General features: G+C 60.5%; 1 protein-coding gene, 1 long non-coding RNA gene and 1 pseudogene across 15 annotated transcripts in view, besides 1 other annotated feature; 2 read left to right on the top strand and 1 right to left on the bottom strand.

Annotated features, from left to right (window-relative positions):
• The window catches only part of TBC1D2B (TBC1 domain family member 2B), an 82,727-nt gene extending 79,353 nt beyond the window's left edge, over window positions 1–3,374 (top strand). For 8 of the 14 annotated variants that reach the window (XM_047432269.1, NM_001387143.1, XM_011521387.3 and 5 more), the window contains one exon: window positions 4–3,374. In XM_047432269.1, coding sequence (XP_047288225.1) covers window positions 4–199 — 196 coding nt within the window. In that variant the 3' untranslated portion in view covers window positions 200–3,374. The remainder of the gene's footprint in view (window positions 1–3) is intronic. The other 6 variants (NM_001387142.1, NM_001387145.1, NM_001387144.1 and 3 more) reach the window with 4 other exon arrangements.
• A 759-nt stretch (window positions 3,375–4,133) lies between these two features.
• Window positions 4,134–5,126, top strand: LOC91450 (uncharacterized). The gene has a single exon (NR_026998.1). It is a non-coding gene; the product is annotated as an uncharacterized LOC91450 (long non-coding RNA).
• On the bottom strand, window positions 5,118–22,350 carry ADAMTS7P3 (ADAMTS7 pseudogene 3; annotated as a pseudogene).
• Window positions 7,476–7,565: a silencer, noted in NCBI's record as "silent region_6700". NCBI's record gives its function as "represses an Ori minimal core promoter by ATAC-STARR-seq in GM12878 lymphoblastoid cells {active_cell/tissue: GM12878}" and the evidence as "EXISTENCE:reporter gene assay evidence [ECO:0000049][PMID:35858748]".

Raw genomic sequence — 24,665 nt, 5'->3', positions numbered from 1 at the left:
CAGGAAGCTGATCAGTATCTCCTTTGGGGACCTGAACCCTTTCCCCCTACGCCAGATCCGGAACCGACGCGCCTACCACTTGGAGAAAGTCCGGCTGGAGCTGACCGAGCTGGAGGCCATCCGTGAGGACTTCCTGCGTGAGCGGGACACCAGCCCTGACAAGGGTGAGCTGGTCAGTGACGAGGAGGAGGATACCTGAGTGGGCTCGGGATGCTGCTCTTCCTTCCTTCACAACCAAAGTGTGCCCAAAGGGTGAAAGTGCACTTAAAAGCCAGAATGTAACGTGTGTGTCCTCTGGGGATCTGCTGGGCAGATGTCCCAAGCCAGGCTGCCCTTCCTCATTTCCCACTGTGCGGGGGGCAGGGGTGGGAGGTCTAATCTGTTTACAACCATTTCCGTGCCATGCTTTTGGTTACACGTATCTCAGTCACGCTTTCTGCCTGGTTGGTGGATCCTCAGGCTTACCAGTGGCTATTTGCAAGAGCCTGTTTCCAGCCTCCGTCAGCCTGTCGGTGCTCTGACCCTCTGAAACCTTGCTTTGCTGGGCATCTCCCCATATTCTCTCTCCTGTACATAGTGGGCAGTGGTGTGTGGTTTTGAATGGCAGTGCTATAAAGGATGCCAGCTGTGCTTTAGGCACCTGTAGGCCAGAGGGTTGCTGCCTCAGGCATAAGGTTGGTATGAAAAGGGGCTGCCTTAGAAAAGCAGGCACATCCCTTGTTCAGAAATGGCCACTGTAGGAAAGCCTGTGAACCTCCCACCAGTGGCTTTAAGCTGCCAGCCATGCCCCATTTCTAGAATAGCCTTTGCTCTTCCACACGCAACCCTTCCATCAGTGTCTTCCAGCCTGCATGGGGAGGGCCTGGCTGCCCAGACACCCACCCTCACTTCTCATGGCCAGCCTGTGTTTGCAGATCACTGGGCTGCTCTGTCCCCAGCTTGCCCCGTGCCAGGCATGGCTCTGTGAGATTCTGTGGAATGCCCTTCTTGACTTGTGGAAATCATTCACCAAGTACGATGGGATGGGATTCCAAGTAAACAGTGGACCGTCATATTGCAAAGCAGGCCCACGCCTGGGCTGGCCTTGGTTGAGGGGATGGAGGAATGTTTTCGGGGGTGCTTTGCAGGGCAGTGGTGCAGCCGCAGCGTGAACGCTCTTGGACAGCTGAAAACCATGGCCTCCTTGGGGATGGCCAGTGCTCCTGGTGTCTCCACCTGCCTGGGTTGTGCAGGAGGCCGGCTGCCAGTGCCTGGGGCTGGGAAACTTTTTTGCTTGGGGCAGGCTTGGGTGAGCTCTCCCAGATGTGTGCCCACCCCACCACTGCCTGGAACATCCTTGTTCTCTGCCAGGATGCAGGGGCACTGTTGCCTCTGACACAGCAGTTTCTGGGAACTCAGAGGACTGCCTTTCTGAAGGCTGGGGAGAGGCTTTGAGCAAGGAGCTTGTTTTTGCTTAATCGCTCTAGACCATCCCTGATGCGTAGATGTGAGAGGATGTTTTCTGGCACAGTGTTATGAAAATACAAGATAAATGATCTCAGTGGAATGTTTCATATTACCCGAAAAAAACTGGAAATCATCCTTTGTTGTGAACACACTGAGACTAAGAATTGAAGCAATGCAGTTTTAAGAAGTATTTTTCCTATTTTTTGCTGTCAACTTTTTGGCAATGCCACGGCAAAGTTGGTGTTTCAGCACATGCTAGAGTGAGCTCCGGCTTCGTGTCTTTAACCAACTCCACTAATGTTTCACTGGGTAGACGGAGCTGGCCTCTATATTTAGCCAGAAGCCTTTGCCTCTTTTCAGGCATCAAAAATGGGTTTTGTCATTGTCTTTGTCTTTGAGAGCAGCAGTTTGAGGTCTGACTCCTTCAGTTGTCCTGTGAGCTGGGCGTTGCAGTCTGCTCGAATCAAGTGTTGGAACCCCCCCCACCCCTCAGCCCATCGTGAAACGACAGCTGTCAGCCTGGGGGGCGGCTGCTGAGGAGGTGCAGCAGGAATGGGGCTGGGCCCTGAGGTTTTACTTTCCGAGCCAATGGCCCCTGGAACATGCCAGCACACACTGCCATGTCCTGGGGCTAAGAGCTGCCTTTAGGGACAGGCTCGTGTTGTCCAGTTTGCCCTGAGAGATGCACCTGACCAGGGGCCCGTCGTGGCTGCAACCCACGGTGGTATGTTAGTGTTTCCAGGCAGTTGTCAGCAGCTGCCGGGCAGTGTGTGTGTGCGACAGCAGGAGAGTTCCTGGAGGAAAGGGACTGGGGACACTTTCTCAGAGGTTCTCCTGCCTGGAATCAAGTGATGCGTGTCCAGAAGGCAAGAGAGGGCGGCTCCGCCTGGTTAAAGTTTGGGAACGGGACGGAGCCAACTCCTCCTTCCAGGACTGTGGGCCCCACTCTTTTGCGCTAACACTTCCCCTCCCTCGGGTCACTGAGGAAAGAGCTGCTCTGTCCCCTCCAGTGCCCTGAAGGTCCCTGGCCTCCACTGGCTGCCATGGCAGGGGGCCCTTCTGACAGGGGCTGCCCCAAGCTGCTGTTCCTCCTCTGAACCTTCACCCCAACACCCAGCCCGTGGCCCCTGCAAGGGGGACCCTGCCAGCTGGGAAACCCAAAGGCCTGTCCAAACGTGCGCACCAGGACCGAGGGGAGCTCCCTCCCAACACCTGCTAGGAATTGCCAACTTTTAAATGGATGGGGTTTTTTATGGGTTGAACCTCTGTTAATACTTTTGTACACTCTCACTACAGTTTATATTTTTATAGGCTATTTTCTCAAGGTGTTTCTAGATTCCACATATCTATTTTATATAACAAGTTATTATGTTATGTGTGTGACTCCCTTGTGTGTATCTGTGCCAGCCTCAGCCTCCGAGTTGCTTTTCCCTCTGGCCCTGACTCTCACTGACTCACCGATGTGATGTGCAGGCCCACTTCTTACCCCAGATAGCCTCGGGCGCTGCCTGTAGTCATGCTGACAGCTGTACAGTAGCCGCCAAGACTGCTGACAGCTGGAGACGGTTCTGGTTTCAACTACGGTATATTGATATCGGAAGTATTCTAGACAGATCCTCGGTTGGGTTTTCTAGCTACATGTTTGTATTGCACAGATCCCCACCTGCCATCCTATAGTGTTGTCTTCCTGTGTGTTCCGGGGCTTCTGGGCAGCTGGGCCTGCCCGGGGAAGTCCTTGCAGGTGGGAGGCCATACAGAGACCCACTGTGTGCCACTGAACGTCCCACTGCTGCTGGGCAACTGGAGGACTGCAGGGGGCGCCAGGTGACTCTCTCCTTTTATATCACAGCAGCTCCTGTGCTGACCTTCAAGTTACGTTTTGGAACTGTAATACTAAAGGAAGAAATAAACTACTAATTTGTATAATATTCTGCATTGAAATTCAGTTATAGTCACTGGTGATGGGGCTCACCCCAAGGGCTTGGAGGGTGGGGCAGGGCTTATTGGTGTTGCGGGGGGCGAGGAGGGGCTCTCCAACCTTCCAGCCTGGCGTTTCTGGGTGTCTCTGCCCTTGGCTCACCCTGGGGCGGGTGCATCAGGATGCCTTTGCCAGCAGGGGCAGCCTTGGGAGGCCCCAAGAACCATGGCCAAGCTGCAGGTGTGGGCTGGGGGCACCGAGGTGGGAAAGCCGGAAGCTGGAGACTCCCTGTGTCCGGATAACCCCCCGCCCAGCCACAAAGAACAGGCATGCCTCCTTCCGCCAGCTGTGCCATGCCCTGCCTGAGTCACAGGCTTGTTTGTCTCCTGCCTGGGCTGACAGCTCAGGCCCAGCTGCCACTGGGCACACCCGCAGTCATCAGTGGAAAACACCCAAGAATGATAAAGACCAAAGGGGTTCCCATAGGGGTGTTTCGGGGTGGCTCCAGCAAGGATTCCCAGACAGGGCAGGCCAAGGCCTGGCAGGCTTTTCTCTTCTGCGGACATGGATTCAGCGAGGCTGGGGGTTCCTGGAGTCACGCAGCAGAGCGGCGGCGGCAGAGCTGGGGCAGAGCTGGGACAGGGACTGGCTCCGTGTGTGGGTCAGGAGCAAGTCGACAGGCCCTGCTCCCCACCCCTTGGAAGGGAGTGCCACCAGGGGCCGTTCTGACTAAGGCCTGGGAAGCCATGACTCAGAGCTTGGGTCCCTAGAGTCTCTTTGGGCCAGCCGGGCTGCTGCAGACAGACAGGAAGCACGCCTGACGCTCCTCTACCCTCGGGCAGCACAGCGGGGCTGGGACTCACTCTAGCTTGCCCAGCAACTTGCTTTCCTGTGTGAACTCTGGCAGGCTGCCCTCTCTGTGCAAAGCTGCCACTGGGGCCTGCTCAGGGTGGCCTGGAACTTGGAGGTGGGCAGTCAGGGCCTAGGATGGGCCTGTGTCACCAGGGCATGTGCCCTTGGGCCAGTTACTTCCTCTCAGAGCCTTGGGCTCCTCCTCTGAGGATGGGGCTTGTTGGTGTGAAATGAGGTGAGCATGTTGAGTTGGGGAGCAGCAGGACACGCACCTGCAGGCAGCCGCCCTGGCCACGCTCCCTCCCTACCTTCCGAGTCCTGGGACAGACACAGTAGAGCACAGCGGGCCAGCCTGCTCTCTTCTCTGTCTACTTTTTGCAGAAGAGTCAACAGATACAACAGGCCCAGGGAGGTGCCCCTGGGGGCCCCAGTCCCCATCACTCCAAGGGGCAGTCCTGCAAGTGACAAGGTGGGCCCAATCCCTGTGGAACAGGTCTCTGAGGACCACAGAGTGGGGCCCCAGGGAAAGCTGGGAGCCGAGCTAGAGGCAGGCAGCAAGTAAGGGCCAAGCTGTGCCCCTGCCCGGAAGACCTTCCTGCCCCCAGAACCCGACCCTCCGCAGATAGCCCTCCCTGGGCAGCAGCCCCCCAGCTTCCAAGGCCCGTGCCTCACCAGACGCCATGCTCTCACGGACTTGTTTGCTGCTCTGTACCCTGCAGATCTGCCCCAGAGGAGCAGGTGAAAAGCCGCGCCTGCCGAGGTGCTGTGGCGGTGGAGTTTTGGGCAGAGGAGTGGGGGGAAGAGTTTCTCACTTTTAAGATTCTCCAAATCCAAGATGAAGTCATGCTGTGCTTTGGAATGGTAGATGCTCATTTATGTAAAATCATAATAAATGTTACACAAACTGTTAGAATAAAAAAATACTTTTTTTGAGGGGGGAGGAGGTCCCCAGCCTGCCGCTGGATAGTGAGAGGGGGTTAGCACCATTAGGGCGTAGGGCGTAGGGCGTAGGGGGCAGGAGCTCCGCCACAGCCCATGGTGGGCACTGAGGTCTGTTGGTCGGTCTGTGCATCCTGGCACGGTCAGTGGCAGGCAACCCGCTGATGGCCTCGGGAGCGGGCGCCGTGGCTGGGCGGAGAGCACGAGCGGCAGCAGTGGGTGCGGACAGTGGGCAGCTGGCAGCAGCCCACTAGGTGCAGCGTCTCGCAGAACCTGAAGGACAGGTGGTCCCGCTTATAGCCTGGAGTGGGGGGAGTGGGGGGAGTGGGGGGAGTGGGGGGGAGTGGGGGGGGAGTGGGGGGGAGTGGAGTGGGGGGGGAGTGGGGGGGAGTGGGGGGAGTGGGGGGGCGGGGGATTGGGGGGGGTGGGGGGGCGGGGGGGGCATCAGAACCTGGCTCCCCACCCCAACCACCTTAAGGAGGCTCCAGCAGCTCCCCACCAAGCAGAGTGCCCCGGTTTCAAGGTCACACGTCTCCAGCTGTTGCTATTTCTGTCCCACCTGCTCATGGCCAACCCCAGGATTCAAGAACGGGCGCTGCTGGGCTGAAGTTTCTGGAGGAAAGGTCTTGAGACCCCACCCTGACCCCCTCACATGCCCATAAAAGAGCCTGCCCAGGGTGACACCCTGCCACCCCATCTCCATACTTGCTCACCCCTGGTATTCCCCGACAGATCCTGGCACAGAACTGAGGTCCCAGGGGCCTCCTGCCAGCCTGCAGCAACCTCTGCCGTCCACTCCCGCCACCTCCCCCTGCTCCAGTGCACCTATCCTGCCAGGCCTCTGTGACCACCTCCAGCCACGGGGGCTGTACACAGCCTCGGGTTCTGAGTCACAGGGTCCCATCTCCCAGGCCAGCCTCCCACTTCTCAGGTGGGCCACAAAGCCTAGAGTGAGTGGGCCTTACAGGCCATCAGTGGAAACCAGGGACTGAGCCCAGGCCCAGTGGGGAGGGAGGCCAGCTGCAGGCTGTGCTTGTCAGGGCTGAGGCTTGGCTGGGCCCTCCTGCCCCATGGTTATCAGAGCTATTTTGGGATGTGGCTTGTTTCCAGCCTCCTAGCCTTGCTCCTGCTGCTGCCGCTGCTGCTAACAAACCCCAGGCCCTGCTTACTCCAGCAAGAGGAGCAGGAGGACAGCAGCCAGCCCTGGGCCTGGGACATCCCCCAGGCCCGGCAGAGGGCACGAGGCAGCAGGCAGGCTCCTCCACCCCAGCTCCAGGCAGAGCTCCAAAGTGCACATCTGCAGGCCTGCATCCTGGTCGCCCGGGGTGACCTCAGACAAGCTGCTTCACCTCTTGGGCCTCGGTTCTCTCCTCTGTCAACCCCACCTCCACAGCAAACGGATATGGCCATGCTGTGTCACTGCAGTGAGCACACACACACGCGTTTCCCAGCTTTCCACATGTCCCACCAACTGTCCCACAGACCAGCAGAACATCTGGGAATTCCAGATCTCAAAGTCCAGGACACCTTCCCAGCCCCCCTCCACTGTTCACTGATGGCAGAAAACTCACTTAGGACAGCTTCTAGTTCAGCCACCTAACCAGCCCCCATAGCCCACTCCCTGCAGCCCACTCACACCCGCCCCTGGGAGACCTTGCAAGCCCAGAGCCTCCTGGGCCATCCGTCCTTGGTTCTAGGCCCCCAGGGGCCTCAGTTTCTGTTCTCTGCCCCATCTGGTCCTCCCCCACTGGGATCATAACCACCCCGCTCCCTGTGGCCAGCCCTAGCCATAAAGGTGAGAGACGTGGTGCCAGCACCCAGCTCAGGCAGCACATAGGAGTGCTCTGAGATGCTGGCTGGGTGCGTGCTGAGGGCAGGCAGGACAGGGTGGGGGCACTGCCACTGGACCTTGAGGTAATGGGGTTTGAGGCAGGAAGGCCACCCCTGCCAGAGGCAGGGCAGCGAGGCATGGCAGGGGCCACTCTGAGCCCGAATGAGGGCTGCCCAGGAGCCGGTGCAGGTAAAGAAGGCTGCGTTGGACAAGCGGAGAAGGCAGACCGGGGAGATCGCAGGAGGCCCCGAATGTCAGCGTGAGTGCCCTGGCTGAGGACTCTTTTCTAGGGTCAGGGAGCAGCCAGCCAATAGCACAGGGGACGCAGCTGTTCATGCCACAGTTTCTGGATTCCTTGGACTGGCAGGGTCAGCCCCAGGCCCTCTCCCTGACCTTGCAATTGGGGATGACAGTGGCTGTGGGGGAGGGGAGAAAGCTGCCTTCCCTGAGCACCACCTGGATGCCCACGCAGTGCTGTGCCCTTCATGCCCAGACCTCATTTATGCAAGGATGGGGCTTGGCAGCCCCTTTATTCAGCACATGAAGGCCCTGAGAGGGAAATGGGAGCCCAAGGCCACACAGCTGGTGAGGGGATCCCAGGTGACACTCCAGGGCCACCCCGTTTCCTGCCCTCAGCACTGCTGGGAGCAGCTGCAGCTGGAGGAAGTGTGTGTGTGTGTGTGTGTGTGTGTGTGTGTGTGCGCGCGCATGTTGGGGGCAGGGGAGGGAGGCCCTTCATGTGGTTCTATTGCTCACTCTAGGCAGTCCTCTAGCCAGGGAATAGATAGGTCAGGGTTAAGATCAGGGTTAAGGACAGGGTCTCACCCAGGCTGTTTTCACACAGCCTCAGGGCCATCCCTGGCTTCACTGTGGGAAGACTGAGACCTAGAGGAGAAAGAGCTTACCCAGGTTCACACAGCAACTCAGGGGCCAGGGCCACTCCCTCTTCTCCCCTGAGGCCAGACAGCTGCCTGCAGGATGTTGTGTGGCTGGGACACCCCTTGACTGACTCCCAGCACAGCCCAGCCTCCGGCAAGGCATCCTGTGGCATCAGGATTTTCAGTGGCCATGTGGCTCCTGAGCCCAGACTACAGATGGAACCAGCCAGTGCCGTGGGCACAATGGTTTGACGACACCATTTCCCCATCACCCTCCCCACCCTACCTCACTTCAGCAGGGAGCCTGGGGTCAGGGGACTCACGGGGAGACTCGATGGGCTCACAATCCTCGGTGCCACACGGCCGGGAGCTCTCAGGCCAGGCCTCATGGCCACACTGGTCACTGTCTTCCTCGGGCAGCCCTGTCTGGGTGTTGACACACTTGACTAGGCGCCGCTGGACGCCACTGCCACAGGGGGCTGAGCACTGGGGGGAGCAGGGGAGGAATGACTGTCTCCAGGGCCAGCCCTAGCAGTGGGGGCAGGGACACCTCCTCTGGGAAGCCGTCCCTGTGCCCTGTGCCTGACTGGCCTGGCCTTGCTCCCAGCCGCCCTCTCAGTGCTTCCTGGAGGACCTGGTCCCATTCCTAGAGCCCACTTGGTGCCGGAACCCCACTCTCACTTGTGGGATTGGCTCCTGCAGAGGGAAGGGGCATGAGAACCGTGGGACAGCCCTCGGGGCTGCAGGGCAGTGAGCCCCTCACACAGGACATGCCTGAGAAGCCTGGGCAGGGGCCCCGGGATGGAGCCCTGATGCAGCAGTGGGCAGAGATGTGGGCGAGACACCACTGTGCCCGAGGGACAGGGCAGAGGACCTGCCGCAGCCCATGGGCAGGAGGGCAGGAGACAGTTTCACAGCCGGGGCCCAGCCCGCCAGGCTTCGTTGTTATCAGCCCTGAACATGCGCTGAGTCTCTGCCAGTGTCGTGCTGTGCCCAGCCCTGTGCTTCATTACGTTCCTTCATTTAATCCTTCTGACCCTCCTCTCCTAAGCTGTTCCAATTTTACAGATGAGAAAACAGTGACCCAGCAAAGCAAAGCAACCTGCCCAGTCACTCAGCAGCCAGTGGGACAAAGACTCAAACGCTGGCCCAGCTGACTCCAGGACCCAGCTCAGGGCCCAAACCTGAGATTTCTGAACCCCTCAGTTCCAAACAGGCCCAGCAGAAGGTATCCTGCCCATCCGAGGCCCCTCTTAACGCCCCCTTCTGCCGCTGGCCTTTGCTGGGCTCCCTGATCGCCCCAAGCTCGACATTCCTGCCTCAGACTTCACACCTGCTGTCCCCTCGATTCCGTGTCCTTGGCATCACTGACTCCTCCCCTCGGGTCTCAACCCCAGGCCCCTCCTCAGAAGGCCTTCCCTGACATCATAACACATGTGCCCTTTCCTTGTCCGTTTTTCCCTGGCAGGTGTGAGCGCCAGCATGGCAGGGCTGTCCAGTCACTGCTGCATGTGCAGGGGCCACAGAGAGCCTGGCTCACAGCACACACTCCACAGCTCCTTCACCCAACCCAGGACTGACCAGGTGCTACCAAGCACTTGCTCCCTGCTCCCCGCCACAGCCCGGCTCACCTGGCCCCAGGGCCCCACCACCCACTGCGTGCAGGGGTGGGTGTTGCAGGGCCAGGTGGTGTTGGGTCTCAGCGCCTCCTCGCAGAGGCCTGGCTCCGGGCAAGTCACCAGATGCTGCTGCTCACCACCGCCACAGGCCTCGGAGCACTGGGTGGGCAGGGAAGGAGTCAGGGCACAGCCAGGGTCTGAGGGCATCCCCTCCCCCGATCTGAACCCCCAGGCCTCACCTCCCTCCAGGAAGATGTGTAACAGCTGAGGCAGGGCTGGGCCCCGCAGGGCCGGTGTGCAGGCGGTTTGGCAGGCCCGGGCTGACAATGGAAGGGCTGCAGTGTCCAGAGGTCCCGTGTATCCACACACTGCACGTCCTGCACTGAGGAACCTCCACCGCAGCTGCGCGAGCACTGGGGACCAAGACACCCACGTGCAGGCCCACGGGTGTGACCCTGTGAGGCATGTGGCGGGAAAGGCATCAGACCCACGCCCCAGCCCGGGGAAATATCTGAAGAACCCCAGCGAGAGGCCAAGGCTGGCAGGCCCCAGGCAAAAGGTGGCATGGCCAGAGACTGCCATGGGCTGGGACAGACAGAGAAAGGGAAGAACAAAGGCAAGCTAGTGAAAGACAAGTCCAGATGGGGTCAAAGATACAGAGAAAAGGAGACAGGCCAAGCCAGACAAAGATGAGAAGACTCCCAAGAGATTCAGAATCCAGTGAGATCGGGCACACAGACGTGCAGCCTGGAGCCCTCCCCTTCCCTGCCGCTCTCGGAACACAGGCCGTGGGGAACCAGGGCTCCACCCCATGCCCTGGGAATGCCTGTCCTGGCTCCATCCTCACGCACCTTACTCCAGTTGCCTGAGTGCCAGGTGGCACAGGGCTGCAGGTGGCAGTGGCGGGCAGGCTGGGGCCGGCCAGCGGGGGTACAGTCCTCATCCCGGCCAGAGCTACAGCGCACCGGCCTCCAGACCACACCCAGGCCGCAGGTGGTAGAGCACTGCGGGGAACAGACCCGTGAAAGCCAGGCAGATCCCATCCCCACCAGGCCTCCACAGCCAGGAAACTACCCACCTAGGCTAGCGAGACCTCAGCAAGACAGGAGACCTCAGCAGGACAGGGGCCCTCTTCTGGGCCTCAGTTTCCTTATTTGCAAAATAGGCTCCTCCACCCACCTCCCAGGAAGACTGTGAGGATGAGAAGTCAAATCCCCCCAGCAACCAACCATCCCTGCTCACATGGGACAAAGGGCCTGTGTTCCAGCGTCATTGGTGCAGAGGTGGGGGGAGGGGACCCTGTGGGCACCCCTGACCAGCTATCCTGACCATCCTCATGGCTTCCCAGAGGCACCAGGGAAGGAAGGCTGGGTCCTGGTGCCAGCAGCCAAATCGCTGAGTAAAGCTTCAGCCTACCCCATCCCACCTCCAAATTAGGGATCTGAACAGAAGCTTCTTCTCCTGCAGTGACCATCTGGGGACCCAGGGAGGGGCACTAGCCAGCTTCTTTCTTGCAGCTCAGACCCCTGCAGGTCACTGCTAGAGGAGGGCGGAGCCAGGTGGCAGTGGGCTGAGCCCAGCCTGGAGGAGCCAGGCAGAACCTCAGGGAAGCTGCGGGGCCGGCGGCCACGCGGGGACCCTCCCCACTGCACAGCTGTCTGAGCCAGCTCCATCCTGGGGCGTGCTGTGCTGCCAGAGTGTGCCTGCCCCTGCCTTCCCTGAGGCCCGCTGTGCTGCCCAGGAATGGGCCCCGGGGTCCCCTCACCCCCCTAAATCCTGGGAACCCCTTCCCCGAGGGAGGCGAGACAGACGGCCCGTGTCCCACTCTGCTCATTTTCAGTGAAGAAACAGTCACCAAGGTCCCCCGCAAACTCCCTGCCCGCCCAGCCCACACCACTTGCCTCGCTCCAGTTTCCCGCTTGCCAGCTGGCGTTCCTGACAACCAACGGGTCCGCGGGGGGCCCCGCTTCAGCCAGGCTGGGAGGCAGTGGCTGGGTCTCAGGGGCTCTGTGGCTGTTGGCGGGGCTGTCCCAAGCTGGTGTGGACAGCAGCCTAGAGCTCAGGGGCACCTCAGGGCTGAGGGACTCAGGCTGACCCTTGGGTCCTGGGTTCAGGGCAGGCTCAGGCATGTGCCCGAGGCCAGTCAGGGTTGTGGGGAGGAAGGTCCCCCACACTGCCACAGTCTGCAGGTCCCATGAGCCTGGTCCTGGGGTTGGGAAGGAGGGAGTCCCCGGCTCCAGGGAACTGTCCCTGACCTTCATCTCTGGCAGAGGGGCTATGGGAGGAGGAAGGAGAGAAGCCACCCCAACAGTGGGCCACAGTTCACTGTCCACAGGCCCCAGACCACCCTCCAGAGCTGGCTCCCAGGCCACTATCCCTCCTGTCCACAGCTCCGCCGCGTCGGGACTAGGAGAGGAGTGGGTGCTGCCGACAGGACAAAGGGGGCAGCGTGGGGCTGGGTCTCGGGGGCAGGTGGGGTGCTCCACGGCCCTCGGGTTCATCATCCTTGAAAACCTCATTGGTCCTGCCCCGCCATGGAGGGGGCAGCTGGCTCTGGCTGTCCTTGCTAACTGGGAAATCATTTTGGCTATCAGGGGCAGCAAGTGTCTGCAGGCCATCGGTAGAAACCCTGGGCCAGGGCAGGCTGGAGAGCCCAAGATCTGGGGCCCCTATGGGGGCATCTTCCTCAGGCAGGAAATTGATCAAAGGGTTCCCAGGGGTCTGCTCTGAGGGCGGGGATGGGAAGCAGCCGGCCTGGCTGGGCCAAGGGCTAAGGGACCAAGGTCCCGGTGCCCCCTCCTCCTTGGCTGCAGGAGGCTCTGTGGCAGGCACGGGGCTACCCGTGGAGGGTGCAGGATGGCTGTGTGGTGGGGGTGTCCGGTCCCCTGTCCCCACCAGGTCTAGATCGGGTTCCTCAGAGGGCCCATAGGACAGATCCTCGTGGAAGTTGATGCAATTGTAGTCATAGTAGAAGTCGTCCACCAACATGGGCCCCGGCAGGTCCAGCTCTGGAGCCTCCTCCTCAATGGCGTTGCCCATGGTGCCTGGCTTGGGTGATGAGGCAGGTGAAGGGCGTGGGGCCAGGTGGCGCGGGATGAAGTCAGCCTCATTGAAGAGCTCGTGGCTGGAGGAGCCGCTGCCTGAGCCTTCAGGGCCCAGTGTGCCCAGGGGCCATTAACAGAGTGGCAGAGAGCAGGTGACTTTGCTAGCTGGCTGCTGGGCCTCGTCACAGGGGACACCGATGTCATTGGTGCAGAGGACATTTCGGCGCTGAGTGCCCTCCCCACATGTCACTGAGCACTGCAGGGGAAGCCAGGGTGAGGGGGCTTAGGAGTGGCAGAGACCCCAGCCAGCCCTCTCTGGCCCTGCCCAGCTCAAGGCCATGACTATGGCCATGCTTGCCAGGGGCTTCCTGATCCCTGAGGCTTTAGTCAGGGGCTGGACCCTGGAATGCCCAGACTCCCTCCCACCCACGAGGGCTCCAGGAAGGCTGTCTGCCTCCCGATAGCCGAAGACCAAGGGTGGAGCTGGAGGTGGGCCCTCTCCCATCCCACGCTCAACTGAAACCAGTTCCCCACAGCCCAGGTAGCCAGACAGGGCACATGGCAGTTGCAAGGGGTTTCAGTAGGGGGCCAGGGAAGTGTTCACAGGCGGGTGGCCCCAAGGCACTCTGCTCATCCAGCCCCATGCTGCGGATGCAGAGCATGGCCCGGCAGGAGAGGCCCCCAGGCCCCGCAGGAGCTGGAGCACGGCTGCCACTCACCTGCCCACCACCTGGCGGGGGCACATGGGTGGCATCAGCATGGCATCAGACGGGTGGCATCAGCAGGCTCTTCAGCAGGCTCACCAGCAGGGAATGGGCTTCCAGGCCTTCAGGGTTTGGGTAGAGCTGGGACTGAGGCCAGTGGTTGATTCTCCAGAGATCCAAGCCCAGGTAAGTTTCTTGACCTCAAAGCCTGGTGACATAGCACAGCCCCTCTGCTCCTGCCACCCTCCCCTCAGGGAAACTGAGCATGACCTGAGGCCTATTTCCACATCCAGGGATCCAAAGAAGAGGACCACAGGTGTCCAGGCTGGCCCAGGCTGGCCTAGGCTGGGGTGAGGGGTGACCTGGGGTGAGGGGTGACCTGGGGTTAGGGCTTCAGCCTTGGGAAGAGAATGAAAGCCCAGCTCCCTCTGCTCCCCCCCGGGGTCTCCAGGGACCCAGATGTAGGGGCCTGTGGCAGACCCAGGACACCTGGGGGTGGGGAGTTGGCAGGCGATGGGGGTGGGCTCACCTGGCAGGGCAGGGCTGCTCGCTGCACTTCCTCTGGCGGTCATCAGGCCGGCCCAGGGGATGACAGTGCTCCTCGTCCACAGGTCCTGCCTGCCGCTCTGAGCAGTACACACTCTGCCTCTGCACACCTAGGGGCCATGGGGCTCAGCCTGGGACTGGCACCCAGGTGCCCACCGCCCAAGACCCAAAGACACTCTCTCTGCCAGAACAGCACCTTACTGCCTGTGTCAGGATGAAGGCAGACCTCCACCGTCACCTCCTCGCTGTCCTCCTGGTTCTCATACACCCCCTTTTCTCCTATGTAGCCTCCCCTCTGGCTGTGCCTGGAGGGGTGGCAGAGTGTGGAGTTTTAGTGGGTTGGGTGCCCAGACCCTCTGCTTCCTAGCTGAAACCATGGGCAGCTCATTTGGCCTCTCTGAACCTCAGTGTCCTCCTCTGTGAAGTGGGAGCAACAATCCTGCCTCCTCCAAGCCCTGGAGGGAGGACTGCATGTGTTCTTGCATGTGTAGGCTCGGCCCTTGCCCGGCACATCCTAAGAGCTCGATCCATGCCAGCTGCTGCTAGCATGCAAACCCAGCCGTGGCGTCAAGGCCGTCCCACCATCCACACCCTTCCCAATGGCTCAGAGAACGTCTGGACAAGAAATGGGGCATGAAGGGACAGCCCCTGCTCCCCACCCCCACACCAGCCTTGGCACTGCTCCTGTCCTTCACACCCTCTGCCACCGCCCACCCTGGGGACTTTGCACAGCCACGCTCCTCACCTTGGACACTCACTTCCATACTGCCTGTTGAAGCCCAGCTGCAGGACCCCCTCTGCTGGTGGCTCTGCCTTCTCTGCTCCACCCCCTGCCCCGTGGTCCCGAGAGTAAGTTGTCCCTCCCCCGAGCTGCCAGTCCCACACTCATTCCCCTCTTTCCTCACCAACAGATTCCAATTTTGCTCAAGGCAGCAATGGGACCTGCTGAAAACACACCCCACTGACGCTCCCTTGCAACTAGGGGGGTCTGGGACAGTCCTGGCTTGGGAGAAAAAGGCACAAGTCCCTTGCTGGGATTCAGCCCTTTCCCCTCTCCTTCTTCCTGCCCAGAACACTGCAAGAGCCCTGGAAGGGAGGACACCATCTGTGGCAAGCAGGAGTGAAGGGGAGGCTGCTGTGGCAAGGACGATGTGGCTGAGGTCCAGTCAGTTCCAGGTCCCGCCAGCTTGGACTGTGCACCTGGAACTTCCTGCCTGAGACAAAGAACCCCTGTCTGTTCCAGCCACCACAGGGCACTTGCCTCTGCAGAGGCTCCCAAGTGGTCCACCTGCGAAGCAGCCAATTTGCTGAAAGACAATTCCCCAAATGTCTAGTGCTGCAAGTCTATTTGTTGGTTTTCAAGTTTGTCCATTTAAAGACACCCGTATTAGGCCAGGCGCAGTGGCTCACGCCTGTAATCCCAACACTATGGGAGGCCAAGGCTGGCGAATCACCTGACATCAGGAGTTCGAGACCAGCCCGGCCAACATGGTGAAACCCTGTCTCTACTAATAATAAAAAATAAGCCAGGCATGGTGGCGTGTGCCTGTAAATCCCAGCTACTCGGGAGGCTGAGGCAGGAGAACTGCTGGAACCTGGGAGGCGGAGGCTGCAGTGAGCTGAGATCACGCCATTGCACTGCAGCCTGGGCAACAGAGCAAGACTCCATCTCAAATAAAATCAAATAAATAAATAAAGACAGCTGTATTAGATAAAATGGGTTTCCTAGCTTTGGAAGGTAACTGCCCAGTTCTCCAGTTTCACTTTGTCATCATAATAGCATTTGAAGGAATGCTGAAATGTATCTCAGATTCCCGATTCTGAGACCCTGAGGACACTGAGTGTCAACCATGGGAAGACTGAGGGGAAAAGGGGAAGACTAAGAGACAAAGGGGGAGACTGAGATGTGGGGAGACCAAGGAACGGCAGGGGAGACTGAGTTGGGGGAGGAAGACCAAGGGGCGGGGGGGTACTGGGGGGCGGGGGGGAGACTGAGAGGCATGGGGGTAGACGGAGGGGCAGAGGAGAGACTGAGGAACAGTGGAGAGGAGACAAAGAGACAGAGAGAGGGGAGACTGAGGAGCATGGGGGGAGACGGGAAATACGGGAAGGAAGAGTCGGAGTTAATGAAATTGCCCTACTTTTTATAAACAGTTCAGGGAAATAAGTCAGTGTGGTGAGGGGCCTGGGCTGGTCTCCGGGACGCTGCAGAAATGCAGGTACAAGACCTGCCAGAACTGAGCAAGGACAAAATCGAGGGGGAGCTGTGTCCCCTGGAAGGAGAACACCAAGAGCTGGAGCACACTGAGCACGCACCGCAAGCCAGCACCCACCTGCCTCATCCATGTACCCTCCCAGCGGGCCTGGGACACAGGGCAATCGCTAGCCTCATCTCACAGATGGGGAACTGAGGCTCAGAGAAGCAAACTTCCAAACCCATGGTAGCCCAGCAGTGAGCTGGGAGCTGAAGCCAGTGTCCCTGTCTAGAGACAAAGCCCGTGCTGGTGGGGCTGTGCCTGCCCCACTTCTCACCTCTGCCGCAGGTGACTGTGCACTTGGTCCAGGGCCCACAGTGCCAGGAGAACTTGGGCAGCGGGACCTCGCTGTGGCCACCTGCCTCCCTGTGGATGGTGTGCTCGTAGTGTACCCCGGGGTTGCTTTCCTAGAACAGCAGCTGGGTTGGCAGGCGGGGGCCCACTAGCATGAGGTGTCTTCTCCATCCACCCAGTCCTAAAGGAGCCGATGCCAGCCACCTCTGTGAACTGCAGCTACACGACTGGGCCATTTTAAAGATGGGGAAACCGAGGTAGAGGCCGCAGCAGGAGGGCTGGGCTCAGAGCCAAGCTCTGTGACTGAACCAGGGCTCACTCCTCCAGGACGAGACCTGCCATGGAGGGTGCTGGGCCTAGGGACTCCGCCTCTGCTCCCCCAGCCTGGGCCACGGGAGGCAGGCACCTGGATCCAGACAGGCTCCTTGGTGGGACCCGGGGACGTGAGGTTCTCCCAGTTGCCCCTGCGTGCGTATGTGAAGGTGGTCCCTGCCACCTGGTAGCCCCCGTTCCACTGGATGGTCCAGCCATCATTGAGGAAGTACTTCTCCGGGTCCTCGCTCCGCAGTGCCAGGAAGTTGGCAGCTTCGGCAACCTCCTGGAGGCGGATCTCGCGTGCGCCGGCTGGGATCAGCCCCACGTCCACATACCCTGTCAGCCAAGGGTTGTGCATAGGTTGTGCCCAGGGTGAGAAGGTTGCTTATCCCTACCTGCTCCCCTCATGTCTCTCCCCACTTGCCTCCGCCTGCTGATGCCAAAGATTTCGCCATTAGCTTTAAAGTCTGAGCTCCCTAAATTGCTCGGATCTGTCATGGGTCACCAAAACCTCGCAGAGGTGCCACAAAATCCTGACCCCGTGGCCATGCCCCATCACCCCTCTCTTGGGGACCTAAACTGGTCTCATCACAAGGCTGGATCCATCCCCTACTCTAAGGGCCGGCTGGCATCTTCTTTCTAAAAAGGCCAAAGTGCCCAGGCCTTTCTCCTGGGACACCCTCCTCATCCCCATGCGGCCTGCTTTTATTCATTCACTTCCATCACACCCATCACGTGCCAGGCACTACTCTCAGCACCTCACATGTGTAAGCTCATGGGTAATGGCCCTATAGCATAGGTACTATTGTTATCCCCATTTTACAGATGAGCAAAGTGAGGCAGAAGGGGATAGTAACGTACATGAACATCCTGCTGCGGTATGAGCAGCCTCCACGGCCAGTGCTTTATCCACCACACTGCACTGCATCTCTGGGATGAAATCTAAGCTTCTCAGCCTGGCACTCAAGGCCCCATAGCTGGCCCTGCCTTCCCTTCTTGCCTCCAGGCTCTGGCACAAGCTCTTTCCTCCATTTGGAATGCCCTTTCCATCTCTTCTGAGTTTTATGATTCAGCTCGACTTCCGCCTCCTACAGGAAACCTTCCCTGACTTCCCCAGGCCAGGACCTTCTTCCTCAGTGCTCCCACAGCCCTCTGGGCCTCCCTCCACTGTAATGGTCACACCAGAAGGTTCTGTCCCCCTGCAGGACTAAGTGCTTCACCTGCATATCCCCATCACCTAGCACACAGTCAGTACTTGATCAACGTGTGCAAAATAGACCGGAGGTGAGGGCACAGAGCTGGGGTCTCAGAAGCTTCAGGAGGAGACTACCATGACTGGAAAGGCCCAGGGGCCACACACAAGCTGGGTCTCTGGGACAGGAGGACTCCCCATGGGGGCAGGTCTCTGCACGTGGGCCAGGGGTCCCCTGACTCCTGCAAGAATCCACCCCAGCAAGGCTTCCCTGCTTAGCCGTCTCTAGGCTGGGTGGGGACCACGAGGCCAAGGACATGGGCCAAGGACATGGGCCCAGGGGAGATGGGGAAGGGGCCACCAGATGAAGAGCACACCCCTCCCCACAGCGGTCCCACCCCATACCCAGGCCCTCGGCCTCCTCGAAGGTCCCGCTCACGGTGTGGCAGGTGGAGCCGTTGCCGTGGCACACACCACAGCGGTCCTCCATAGCACCGGAGTCAATCTCGAAGTCACAGCCCACGTTCTGCAACACACGAGGAGGGGAGGGCCCTGGTGCTGGCGGCCAGCCCTCTGTGGCCCCAGCCCCGGGGGCCAGCCAGGGTCAGGAGGAGAAAGCTGGGAGTTGGGGTCGGGAGGCCTCTCTCTGGCCCTGCCCCACCTCAGCTGTGCCTCTGACCCAGGTGAACCTCTCTACTTCCCTAAGCCTCAGTTTCCTCAGATGTGAGACGAGGAGACCCACCCCTCCCTTAAAGGCATGTCATGAGCATCACATGAGACAAGAGAAGGGAAGAGTTCTGCAGAGGCTGCGGGCAGGCAGGGGATCTGACACGCCACGGGCTCCTGAGCAGCGCGTGCAGGGAATTTCAACGTCAAAGGCACTGGGGATTGGCACCTCCCTCCTGGTCCTCCTCGGAGCCCAGGCCTTGATACCCCAGAGGCTTAGAGGGCAAGAAGCAGGGACAAGTAGGTCGCTGGGGACATGGGCAAAGAGGAGAGGCCGTCATTGTTATTAAAAATAAGAATAGAAATTGTTACCACACACTGAGGGCTACTCTTCGCGGCTCAGAGCCCTCTGTGTCATCTGTGCCACCTCATTTAATCCCTTCTATCAGGGAGCAAACCACTGCCTGGGGTCAGCCAGCCAGCAAGAGGTCAAGCCACTGCCTGGGCTCTGGTTTCCTGGCTGGGGCGGTACTGGTGGAGGCATCCAAGGAGACGCAGGGGGGCGAGGCCTGACTGGGAGGGTCCCCAGTGCCAGGAGTGACACACATCCATGGCAGGCTGGAGGCTCCCAAGTAGCACCAACATGCTGGAGGCTCCGGCTGGGCTGATAGCTATCTGCAAGGCTGCAGACTGGGGAGCTAGGGGCGAGCAGCAGCCCCAGGGGACAGTGGGAGCGGCCCAGGCTTGGGGTGGAGACTGGGCCTTCCTGCTCGCATCACAGGGTAACCTTGGACCCACACACCCCCACCAGCCCTCTGAGCCTCAGTGTCTCCATGGGAGGCAGCACTCACCGTCATTGACCACGGGCACCCATGTGTGCAGCTGGCCCTTGTAGAGCATAGCGTCAAAGTGGCTGCACTGGACGTGGCGGAAGGAGGGGCGGCCAGCGGAGCAGGCCTGCAGGTTGCAGAGGCGGAAGCGCTTCCGCTCACCCACACAGTATCTGCCTTTGTATTTGGGCCTGTGGGGAGAACCGGGGTGGGCCCCAGTGAGGGCCCAGTGAGTGCTACTGCATGGCCACAGCCCAGAGCAAGCAGCTTCCTCCTGCATCCACACCGTGAGATCCCTGCCACCCAGCTTTGTGCACGCTGCTCCCCTCCCTTGGGTTGCCCACCCTCTGGCCCAGACACACCCTCCCTGTTTGTAAGGACCTGCGGGGAGGTGGCAGCAGGAAGCCTGAGCTCTGCCCCCAACCTGCTGTGTGACCGTGGGCAAGTCTTCGGCCACCCTCTGGGCCTCAGTTTCCTCATGTATAAAGTGGGGTTTGGGGCTGCTTCTGCAGAGGGCTGTTGAGAAGCTGGGACAAGCTGCAGGCATGACTGGCACTGGCTGGAGGGACTGCTCTGAGTCTTCAGCCCATGATACCAGCATCCTAACGAGCCCTTGAGTCCTCAGCCTTCCTCCTGGTGGCAGTACCCCCAGCCCGGGTCTAAAGGAAGCGCCCAGCGCCCCAGCCAGCTGAAAGGTCTGACCTAGCACAGCTCCTAAAATCCTCTGCATCTAGGCCAGGGTCGCTGGCCCCCACCCAGCTCAGACCTGGAGGCCAGGAGGCAGGGAGGGGCACAGGCCAGTCTTGGGTAAGCGCAGGGCCCTGGGTGGGGCTGGCTGTGAACCCCATGCCTGCCCCGGGTGGCCTCCTGAAGTGAAGATCAGCCGGGTAGTGCCTCGGTCTACAGTACCACTGGCCTGTACGTCTCACCAGATCTTCACACCCCCTGCGCACCCCCGTTTAGATGGGGAAACAGAGGCCCAGAGAAGTGAAGTCACTCACCTCAGGCCACCCCTTCAGTGCTGTCCCATCCTCCCAGCTGCCCCCAGTCTCATCTCAGACTCTCGCTGTGTCCCTGAGGCCAAGAAGCCCCTCCCGCTGAGTGCCCACTACAGATGAGCTGCAGGGCTGAGGACCTGGCCTGCGTAAACCGCATTTGCCCCTGACTACAACTTTACTGGATGGGCACTGCTATTATACAGATGGGGAAACGAAGGCCCAGAGAAGGGGTGAAGAGGGGATTCAAATCCTGAGCCATCTAAGGTCCAGGGCCCATGCTCTTCCCCACTGCCCTCTCCTGCCTCCTTCCAGCCAGCAACTGCTTTGCCATGTGGCCTCTGATGAGTCTCTCCAGTCTCTGGGCCTCAGTGTCCCCTCTCTGCAAAGGGGTCAGCAGTCTCTGCAAAGGGGTCAGCAGTGGGGACCCTGTCAGCCCCCAGAACACTCCTTGAAAGTGACTCAAGGTGGCCTGGACACTCGGACTGACCATTATGAGGACACTTCTAAGAGCCAGGGGCTGGGACAGAGCCAAGCTCCTGCAATCGGCTGACTGTTTGGGTCCCTCTGTCCCACTGCCCAAGGGCACCCTGGGCCCCACACTCACGTAGGCTGCGTGCACTGCCGCTCGGCGCTCTGTACGCCCATGCCACAGCTCCATGAGCAGATGGACCAGGCGCTCCAGCTGGACCAGCCACCATCCACGGCCTCGGGCCGGAAGCCCACGGGTACGCACTCCCCATTGAGACACCACTACCGAGACAGACGGAGGTAGAGCCACCCCACCCCCAAGCCTATCAGTCATCCTCACCCTAGTGAGAACAAGGTGGGTGGGAAGGCTGCGAAAGGCACAGAGGGGAAGGATGGAAGGTGAGAGAGGCCTCCTCACAATCATCACAATCATTTGTGACCCAGGCCACATGGAGGAGCTGAGCGGGGAGTAAAACAGCCCACATGCTGACTCAGCTGAAGACACCCTGGGGAATCATGGAATCAAACCCTGGCCCCAATGCCTCCACTTTGCAGACGGGGGCTTGGGCTGCAGAGAGCTTGGGGCTCTGCTACAAGCACAGGCAAGACTGTGAGCCGAGGCTGACCCCAGGGCCCGGCCACAGCAGGAGGTCTAGTCTCTCACACACCCACCGCCGGGACTGGGGACACCCCCAACCGGGTGCCGTCCATGGCTGCATCCAGCTTGGAGTGACAGGTGGTCCCCACAGAGCACCAGAGTGTGTGGCAGACATTCCGCGAGAAGGAGGGCATGGGCCATACCCTCACACCCTACCCAGTGCTGCCACCCACCCTGCCCCCCTCCCTGTCCCCAAGGGTCCCCTGGGCACCCCTCCACATGGCAGGGGCCCACAGACCCCCAGAGGTTCCTTCTTGTGTGCCTGCTCCCACCTTCCTCCCCGGACCATGTGGTGGTGTGGGGCGCCCGGGGCTGCGCTGCTCAGAGCGGTCCCCAGCTGTCCACACCTCTCCCGGCCCAGCGCCTCCTCTGGAAACACTCCTGTTAGAAGATCACTTCAGGCGATCTTCGCCAGGATAAATAGACCCTCTCCACAGGGGTTCCTTTTCCCTCTTATGAGCCAGCTCCAGAGAGGCGAAGGGACTTGTCCGAAGGGTCACAGTCGGTCCATGGTTGACCCAGAATTCAGAGCTGGGTCTGTGGCCACCTATCCCTGGCCTCTCCCACAGGCCACTTGACGTCTCACAGTGTCACTCGGGGGCGCAGCCCAGGCCAGGAGAGGTTGCTCCCAGGCTGGCATCCACGGGCTGGTGAGAGCTGCCCCCTGAGCCCTCCTGCCAGGTCCCCACACCCCCACACCCACACCGGCCCCACTCACATCCATGTCCTCGCAGAAGGCAGAGTAGGCCCCGTACTGGAGGCGGCACTGGTGGCTCACAGCATAGGGGATGCCAGGCAGCACCAAGGGGAAGTCGATGATGTCCTTGGCAGGAGGGTCGTCCAGGCACAGGCCCCATCCATGGCTAGAGATGGGATGGGAGGATGCAGGGGGCGCAGCCTGTGAGACCCATCGGAGAAGGCTTGGTGGGGCCGGGAGAGGAGGAGAGGCGGGAGGGGGCACAGAGCCCTGCAACTGTAGGAAACTCCAGCCTCCCTGCTCGGCTCAGCCGATCCTCCACCCGCAGCCAGCAGCACAGGCCCTCCCGGCCTCTGTCATCTCACCTCCTGGGCACTCCAGCTGGCTAAACAACCCCAACCCCAACCCCAGGCCTCTGCACACGTTGTCAGGGCCCTTCCCTCGGAAGGACCGCCAAGCCGTCATGTGGCCCTGCTCTCCGACCCTGCAACCTCCGTGTCTGAGCCCAGATCCTGGAAGCCAGGCCCGACAAGGATCTGGAGAACATCACATCACAGTTGACACAACAGAGCCTCCGACGGCCCCACCCAGGCAGAAGACCTCAGGTCATCTGTGGAAAGGCGAGGTCTGGAAAGCAGCCCCTCCCCTGGGAGAGAGCCCAGGGCAGGCATGCCTGTCCTGTTTCCCCCACTCCCCAACAGGGCTGGCCTCCGGCCTCTGTCATACCCTATCTACTCCTGCCTTCTTCCAGCTGGCATTCCCTGGCAGCGATGGCGGGGAAACTGGCAGACATGAGCAGGTGCCATCTGTATCCACCACATACTCCTGCTGCTGCGGTGTGGCGAAGACAAGGCTGCCCAGCCCCAACACCACGAGGCAGTGAGCATGGAGGCGGGGGCCCTGGGGAGGGCGGCCCAGGCCCGGCTGGCACATGCTTCTGCCCCTGCCTCACTCTTTACAGCCCTCGGGCATGCTGTTGCTTCTGGGACCAGTGACCAGCCTGCTGCCCCTGCTGGACCTTAGGTGGGTACCACTACAGCTTAGTAGGAGTGCCCTGGCATGCTGACCACCCCACCCACGGCTCATTGCTGTCCTGGAGGAACTGGAGGAAGGTTTGGGGCCCTCTGGGGGCAGCAGTGGCTGGGGAGAATTGAGCCACGCAGACTTGCAGGGCTGGGGATGACCCAGGCAGCCACGACTTGGGCAGAAGCAATGGAGGGAGGCAGGACCCGTGGGACCTGGGGCCTCTAGCCAGGCAGGGGAGATGGGGAGGCACCAACCCTCCAGTTCTCCAGTCTGGGTGGCCTTAGGGCAGGTGGCGCCAGGCCAGAGGGCCAGGATGAGCATACAGTCCTGATTGGGATGGGGGTGGGGGGGTTGCACAGGGAAGAAGGGCAAAGGTGATGGATTCTGGAGTCCAGCAGGGAGAGAAAGAGACACTCTGAGATGTAGAGAGGCTGGGAGAACACAAAAGGTTCAGGAAACAGGGCCAAGACTACTGAAGGCAGGTGTGGAGAGGGGCTGGGAGGGTGGATCAGACCATGGAATCCCGAAGCCCAGATTTCAGAGGGGGCCTGGCAGCTTGGAGACCCAGGGTGGAGTGGGTGTTTGCGTGGTCTCCTAAGTCCCCCGACCAGTGACAGGCCCCTGGCCCTGCCCAGAGCTGCGGAGAAGAAAGCCAAGGTGACCAGACTTCTACTGAGAACCCTGGAATCCTCCTGGAATCACTCAGACTGCCCATGCTGGCTGGAAACAGATCCTCTAACATGGGCGTTGGCAGATGAGCAGCTGCTGGATGCAGTCCTAGTGCCCAAGATGACCACGTGCCAGGCTGGTCCCGGGTGCATACCCTCTCATTTGCTCCTCACAACATCCTGGGCAGACTCTACCATCATCTCCCCTCATGCACTCAGGGCCCATATGTCACTTGCCCTGGGTCGCGCAAGAGAGATGTGATGGCCAGGATCTGGAGCCATGCCCAGGCTGCCTGCACCAGGCTGTGTCTACTCACTGGGCTGCCTGCAGTGCCAGGCTCCTCCCATTCAACCGCGAGCCTGGCCTCAAATACTTCACCCCAGATACAAGTTCAAAACCATGGCAGTGAGGCCTGGCGGGGAGAAAGGAGTGTCCCCAAGTGCTCCTGGGGCTTGGGGCTCCTTGAGCCTTCCTGGGCCTGCACCCGGGGCAGAGTGTCAGCAGCGGGTGGTGGGGTCAGCTGGCCCTGGGCTCCCTCCTTCCCGCTAGCATTCCGTGGCTCGAGGAGGTAGACTGGGGGCTCACCCATCCCAGCCAGGGGGTCCTCTGACCCAGGGGCTGAGGGGTCCAATGCACCTCATCCCGGCACCAACAGTCCCTGGGCTGCAGCCCAGCCCTTCTGCTTCCTGGCTGCCCCAGTGCTGACTCGCTGCACATGTGGCTCCTGCGGGCCTGCTGTTGGGCAGCTGAAGCCACAACAACCTCTCAGCCCACCCTGGGTGTGTGGGAGAAGTCGGGAGCATGAGGCGACCCTCACAGA

This window comes from Homo sapiens, chromosome 15 (assembly GCF_000001405.40).
Source record: "Homo sapiens chromosome 15, GRCh38.p14 Primary Assembly".
Taxonomy (NCBI): Eukaryota; Metazoa; Chordata; class Mammalia; order Primates; family Hominidae; genus Homo; species Homo sapiens.
Note: the sequence above shows the minus strand (reverse complement) of the source record. Positions and strands in the feature narration are given on the sequence as shown.